Raw genomic sequence first — 7,707 nt, forward strand, 5'->3', positions numbered from 1 at the left:
ATGAGCCACTGCACCCGGCCTGCCATGTTTTTTTGTTTTTTTTTTTTGTTTTTTTTTTTTAGGGCTAAAGACTAAAACTGTTCCCATAAAGCCTTTTCTCTGTCAGAACCTGCAGTTCTACCATTCATTCAGCTGCTCAAGCCCCCGACCCATTGAGCTCAATGACACCAGCAAGTCCTGCAGCTTTTGTCTCCCAAACACCAAATTTCATCTAACAACAGGCCACGGATTGTTAGATGCACCATTGTCACTCGTATCTCTAAGAAAGAATCAGTATCACCAATTCTAAGCCTTATCCCCATTTTAGAGATAAAAACATGAAACATACTTACATTTCAGGATCAAGGTAATATGGTATATCTTGACTCTTAAGTCTTCCTCATCCAGTGTCACCACCCTGGTCCAGGCCCCCTTCATATCTCACCTGGACCTCAGCAACCATGGGCTGCTAACTAGTCTCCTTTACTCGTGACCCCTTCCAACCCATTCTCCATTCCACTGCCAAAATCACAATTTTTATAATACAAATCTTATCATACAATATGAATCTGGTCATTGTTGGTTTCAAAGTCTTCAGTGGCTTCCAATTGCTCTTGGCATGAAGATCTAACTCCTCAAGAGAGCCTGTAAGACCATGATTGATCTGACTTCTGTCGTCTCATCTCTCAGCAGCTTCTCAGGCAATATCTCACCTGCAACCATATCTGACCCCCTCCTGAGTTCTTCATACATCTCAACTGCCATACACTCGACTTCCTCTGCTAACTCATCCTCTCTCTTTACCTGGCTAACTCCTATCTGTCCACCTTGTCCATCTTGTCTGTCAAAGCTGGCCCTGGCCACTCTCTCATAAGAACAGGTGTGGTCCCTACTACTTGCTCCCATAGCACTCTGTACTTTGCCTGCACAGCACTTGGCACACCTGGAATGATTTGCTTAATTATTTACTTAACTGTGTGTTTTTCCAACTTAAAGTTCTATGACACTGGGATTGATTTTAATCAGAGCAGATTCACTTGTGTCTAGCACAGTATCTGGTACATGTACATGTAGGGTGCTCCATAATATGTGTGTGTGTGTGTGTGTGTGTGTGTGTGTTGTTTTTGGGTTTTGTGGGGTTTGGGTGTTTTTTTTTTGTTTTTTTTTTGAAACGAGGTCTTGCTCTGTCGCCTAGGCTGCAGTGCGATAACATGATCAGGGCTCACCGCAGCCTCAAACTCTTGGGCTCAAACAATCCTCCCACTTCAGCCTCCAGGGTAGCTGGGACTACAAGTTCATGCCACCATGCCCAGCTAATTATTCTGATACCATTTTTAACAGGTATTAGAATTCTTTCTCCTTTAACAGGATTAACTTTTAAATATATCCCACAATTGAGCTCTATATAGTTTTTATCCACACAAGTATCTAAGAGTGATCTCTCATAATCATATTAACCATAAAAATTCTAAAATCCCAGGACAGGAAAACAGTACTAGAATCGGTTTAAAAGGCTGATGATCAAGAATCGACAATGAGGAGGCAGGGCACGGAGGCTCACACCTGTAATCCTAACACATTAGGAGGCTGAGGCAGGTGGATCACCTGAGGTCAGGAGTTCAAGACCAGCCTGGCCAACATGGCAAAACTCCGTCTCTACTAAAAATACAAAAAATTAGCCGGGCGTGCTGGCACGCACCTGTAATCCCAACTACTGAGGAGGCTGAGGCAGGAGAATCACTTAAACCTGGGAGGCAGAGGTTGCAGTGAGCCAAGATGGTGCCACTGCACTCCAGCCTAGGTGACAGAGTGAGACTCTGTCTCCAGAAAAAAAAAAAAAAAAAAAAAAAGAATTGACAATGACAACTGCTATTGACTAAGTATGTTTTCTCCTTAAGTATAGGATAAAAATGTATTACCTGAAAATGCAATAGAAGAACCATATTTGATGTGTCTTTTAAAGTCTAAACCATAAAAAATACATAAACTAGCCACGTGAAGTGGTGCACACCTATAGTCCCAGCTACTCAGGAGGCTGAGGTAACACAATCACTTCAGCCCAGAATTTCGAGGCTAGCCTGGTCAACATATCAAGACCCTATCTCTAAAAAAATTACCAACTCAAATTTTATCAGGCCATTTGTAATAGAACAGGTGTTCTCCAGGCCAGGCATAGAGTGGAACCATTTCATGTAAAAGAATCCCAGCTGACCATCATGTTCCTAGCTGATTACATATTTGGAATTTGCAATGAATTACCCACAGACATCCTATCCCATGACATGGTCTTAGGAGTTCATACCAATTGTACTGTGGAATGCTATATTATGTGGTATGCTGTGGATTAATGGGCTTTATGAGTTCACTTTAGAACCTGGGGACATTTTCCAATACGGTTTTTGTGAGAAAATCAGTGCCAGGGCACAGGAAGCTCAGAAGCAATGAAAACCCAAGTCTCCATCCACCATCTCCCCTTCTCCACCCCTTCAACTTCAGCCAACCCTGCCCCAGCAGCAGCACGGCATGAGAAATGAAGCCCAAGGCACTGTGGAGATACTTCATTCCCTGTCTCCCTAAAACCCTCAGTGCCATTTGCAGCTGTGTCCCCCACCCCAGAGCCCAGGCAGCTAGAATCTCCTTTCACCTTTCACCCCTTACCAAAAACACTCATGAAACTGCTCCTCACCCTCCTCAGACCCTGGGAAATCTCACCTCTCCGTGGTCTCCCATCCTCAGGCTCCCGTCGGACTTCATTTGGCCACATCCTTCACTACTCTCCTTCCTTATGCTTTATTTAACACATTTCCACGAGACATGTGTTCCCATGACCTTCTTCCATGTCCACCTCCACAGTTTTGCTCAGGTTCTCGTTCCCTCTCCCAGGCCTCTCTCCACTCTATACTTTCAGGAATTCTACCCATGCAAAGCCCATCTCAGCTTCCACCTCACTCCTGACTTGACACCTCCTCATGCAGCCTGCCTGCCTGGCGCCTTGTCTAGATGCTCTCACCTCGTTCTGCCTTGGATTACTAAAACTTACTTTCTGTCTTGCTTTCTTTCCTTCTGGAGTTCTTGAGGGGGAGTGCAGCTTCTTTACAATGTCTAGATCCCTGTCCCATCCATGCACACTGCACAGATACACTACAGAGCGCCCAGCTCACAGCAGACACTAAATGGTGAAAGAATGCAAGAGGGTCCTGTGTCTCCCTAAGTCCAAAAGGAGACATAAGAATATTACAGGCCGATATTTGTAACCCATTAAGAAAAAAGGTGAAATAGTGTCAATATCTAAGCAAAATACCATGAGAATATAAATCAAAGTGTGAACAGGAGAATATTAAGACAGAAAGACAATGGTTCTCTTCTGGAACCATTAGCATTTAAATACAGAAAAGAAAATGCACCATTTTAACAGCTGCAGAAGATAATAACAGACACAATTATTTTTCCCTAACTAGATGCCATGCCCCATGTACAGTAGTTCCTAATCATCCCCTCATCTTAGTCTCATAACAACCCTATTATTGTCTCTATGTTACGTAGGAGGAAACTGAGGTACCGAGCAGTTAATTAACCTTCTCCATCATGCAACCAGCAAGGCAGAGCTAGGATTTGTATCCCAGTAGCACCTTTTCCAGATTCAAGCTCAACTCCTAAATTCTCCTGCGTCTTCACTGTATTGTTTTTACAACACATTTGCAGGTTGTGGGCTAAGTCACCGGCTACTGAGAGATAAAGAAGTAACACTCCTATGAATTTTACATTTCTGGCTGGGCACCGCAGCTCACACCTGTAATCCCAGCACTTTAGGAAGCTGAGGCAGGAGAATTGTGTGAGCCCAGAAGTTTGAGACCAGCCTGGGCAATATAGCCAGACCCCATCTCAAAAACAATTGTGCATTTCTAATACTCACTGAGCCCCTGCTATCCCCTGGCTCAGTGTACATTGCTCTATATCTCCTAGCAAACCCAGGAGCTATGTATGAACTGAAACCCTGGTTAAATAGCTTGGTCAAAGTCACACAGCTCAGGTGGGGGAGGCTGGGTTTAAAGGCAGGCTGCTGATGCTATGATCCATACTTGAGGCTACTGCTGGCCACAGGCTCCATCTGAGGCCCTGTAGGGGGTGAGGGGAGAAACCCGGCCCCAGAGACAGGGTCTGAACCCTCTGCTGCCAGCCAGTAGAGAAAACAGTCCCTCACCCACAACGTGGGGATAACACTGCCTACCACACCAGGCAGTGGAAAGAATTAAATTAATTTAAATAAAGGAGACAGTGCAGAGTACCTGACACGCAATAAGCACTCAATGAGAGCTATTATTAGAGGTAACTCTCCCTGCTTTCAGTCTAATGCCATGTTTCTTATCACTTAAGGTGATCACCTTGTTGCTCTTTAAAATATTATGTATGGTTTTCTCTAAGATACATGTAAGTGTAAAATGCAGAAGAAAAGCATGCGGGGACGGGGGCGGGGGGGAAGAAATTCCGTTTTCTTTATTGATCAGCCTTTCCCCCAAAATACTTTCTCAAGGAATTATTAAATACTCAACATGGCGCTGCACTACGTTATTTTAATTTAAAAAAAAAAACGCGTACCAAACAACGAAGCTCCTGCCCTTGGGAGTTTATACACAGGCTATGTTAATATTTGCAAAGGGCCCCGAGTGTCTAAGCGGCTAATGAACGTCTTGGGTCGGTTTCCTCAAAATCCAGCCCATTGTTTCCCCGGTGAGCACGATCCGAAGCCTTATCCCATAACGCACTGTAGCCCGAATCTTTCTGCCAACAACCGCTGAAACTACCAGAGGTTAAAGCAATTAACATGAGATGCAACCTCACCGTGGCGCAGCTCCGCGCGCCCCCGGCTGCTGCGACCCGGGAGGGGGGAGCCCCGGAGCGGCTGCGCCCGGCCCCGCACCCCCGGCAGAGCAGGTTAGCTCCCCCTGGGTGGCAAGCCTTTGCAAAACAAAACCGAAAATGAGCGTTCGCTCTCCTGACAGTCTTGCCTAAAAGAACCTCGTCTATACTGCAAAATCCCATTAGGTACACAAGTCCGGTCGGCATTGTCACTTTTAGCGTGACTTCAATTTACACATTCAAAGAATACCTGTCCGGAGCATGGGACCTGGTAGAAAGGTTAGGCTCTCTCCGAAGGAAGTTCAACTCAGGATTTCCCTCCCCCGGTGCTGCACACACCATCAACGGCAAAACCTCCCCTCCCAGTTGCAGATCTAGACTTGCTGAGAAAGGTGCTGGAGATGTTTCCAAGGTCATCCCCAGCACCGCGAGTCCAGCCTTCTGCACCACGCAGATTTTTAAGAGGAGATGCCTATCGCCCGTGGGGAGTCAAAATTAGAACCTCAGTTTCCTTTGTGCTGTCACCCTACTGGTAAGAATTCTTACACTGTAGATGCACTGGGTGCTCAGAATTTTATCGATGATCTTATTATGGAAAGCTATTAATAAGCTCCAAATCAGAGACCTGCTCTGGAACCACGGAGCAGGGAGCAAGGGAGAAACTGCTATCTTTTCTTCAAACGCTCGGACCTAGCACAAGTACAGAACGTAGTGGCTGCAGGCTCGGCCGTGCTCCTAACAGCGCTGACAGCTGGATTGGCGGACGCACTCCAGCATCACTGTCAGGAATTAACACGTTCCCAATTTTCACTGCACCCTTCCACTCTTGTGTGAAATGGAGTGGAATGTTCTTTTCAGCGTTCATCTCTAAAGGGAGAAGAACTATTTCTCACTATGTGAATACCTCACGGGGGATTCCCATTAAATAAAACTGCTTGATGATGACCTAATTTGTTCATTCAAGAGAAGAAACTCTTCCTATCCATACATTATTGTTGTTATGGTTTCCGTTGTTAAATTATACATAAAAAGCCTCAGCTGAACCAAGCCTATTTTAGAAATAAAAATGTTCTTGGGACATGAATCTTAATGAGATCCTTATTTTAAATTGCGCCTGAAAATATGCATTGTTTTCAGTGCTTCCTTATATTTTCACCAATTTGTTGTCCTAAATGCATTTTAAAAAAGTTATAAAATGCATTTTCTTATAATGTGTTCTAGGTTTGTCTGTTGCCTTTTTGGTCTTAGGTTACTTTTTAGTGACCAGAAAATAAAATGTGTAGTTAAAAGAGGTTTTCCAGGCTGGGCGCAGTGGTTCACGCCAGTAATCCCAGCACATTGAAAGGCCAAGAAGGGCAGATTGCCTGAGCCCAAGAGTTCTTTACAATGCAGCTTTTTTACAATGTCTAGATCCCTGTCCCATCCACGCACATATGCACAGACACACTACAGAGCGCCCAGCTCACAGCAGACACTAAATGGTGAGAGAATGCAAGAGGGGGTCAGTGGTCCTGTGTCTCCCTAAGTCCTGGGCAACAAGGCAAACACCTGTCTCTATAAAAAATTTAAAAAAAAAAAATTAGCCAGGCATGGTGGTGTACATGTCTGTAGTCCCAGCTACTGGGGTGGGGGGAAGGGAGTTGGGAGTGCTGAGGGGGTTGGCAGGTTGAGATGGGAGGATGGCTTGAGTCTGGGATGTTGAGGCTGCAATGAGCCACTGCACTCCAGCCTGGGCAACAGATTGAGATCCTCAAAAAAAAAAAAAAAAAAATCAGGTTTTCCAAAATGATATGCCAATTCATGCCGTTCGCCCTCCAAAATAAACCCCTTTACAGTCTTTTGCCTTCCCTGTGTCCACTTTTCCTCTGTACTAAATCTTTTCAAACACAAATGAATCTATAAACAAGTGTTTTCCCAAGATGCGGTTCTTAGAACACCAGTTCTGCAAGCTCCTCTCTGGGAAAGAAGCTGGCCAGTGTATCTGGGAAACCTGGCACATTCTCTCTCTGAGGATTACATCTCACATTAAGACTCTCAGTCAAGAAACTTGCTGAACTTGGCCCAGCCCAGCATTTTCCAAATTTATTTGGATGTGGAACCCTTTTCCAAGCAAGATTTATTAATACACTGTGGAATTTGTATTTCCAGGATTACACTTTAGGAATTGGTGATTTAAACCATCTAATATATGGAATAATTTTAGATCAAATAAAACTGAGATGTCAAGATCCACCATAAGAATTTTTTAAGAGAATTAAGAAGAAGCTGGCTCTAATTGCTATTTGTGAATTTTATAAAGTCATTTTGCTAAAAAAAAAAATAAAAATGTTTTAAATAACTGGAAGGGTAGACATCATGTCAGAATTCTGAAACTATACTAAATAAAAAGCTTCCAGAAATACCCCTTTTTCCCCCATGGGAGCTATAACCCAAAGTGTGGTACAGTTTATCTTGGTTGAGTCAGCTTCCCCATTAGCCCCAACACACCTGGAGTATTTAAAAGTAGTCCCCTAGGTATAGATTCCTGCAGCATTGGAAGTAGATTCAAGGCTCAGAAGAAAGGGCCACCCAGTCCAAACCTATTCTACTATTACTTGAGCCCCACCCTTGCCCCCCAAAAACAACCATGCACCCCAGCAGGCTCTAAGCTGCCAGAAGAACTGCATGTTTGACAAGCCTTATATGTGCTTTCTTTCCCTTGAGGCAGAGCTAACGGAGAAAAAGTACACACAAACATTACCCTTGAGAACAAGACAGTCAAGCTAGTAGTCTAAGGACTGTTCAAACTGTGACCCATCTGGACTAATTTTTATTTAACGAAAACATTTTATAAAAGGAACTCCAGGTATGTCAGGCACCTGGACTAATAGG

At 44.2% G+C, this 7,707-nt stretch overlaps 2 annotated features.

The window, feature by feature from the left end:
- Window positions 4,766-4,955: a silencer, noted in NCBI's record as "silent region_1669". NCBI's record gives its function as "represses an Ori minimal core promoter by ATAC-STARR-seq in GM12878 lymphoblastoid cells {active_cell/tissue: GM12878}" and the evidence as "EXISTENCE:reporter gene assay evidence [ECO:0000049][PMID:35858748]".
- Window positions 4,981-5,198: a silencer, noted in NCBI's record as "fragment chr1:200271617-200271834 (GRCh37/hg19 assembly coordinates)". NCBI's record gives its function as "represses an EF-1alpha promoter that drives an FKBP-Casp9 reporter gene in an ReSE screen in HepG2 liver carcinoma cells {active_cell/tissue: HepG2}" and the evidence as "EXISTENCE:reporter gene assay evidence [ECO:0000049][PMID:32094911]".

Source organism: Homo sapiens, chromosome 1 (genome assembly GCF_000001405.40).
Source record: "Homo sapiens chromosome 1, GRCh38.p14 Primary Assembly".
Classification (NCBI taxonomy): domain Eukaryota; kingdom Metazoa; phylum Chordata; class Mammalia; order Primates; family Hominidae; genus Homo; species Homo sapiens.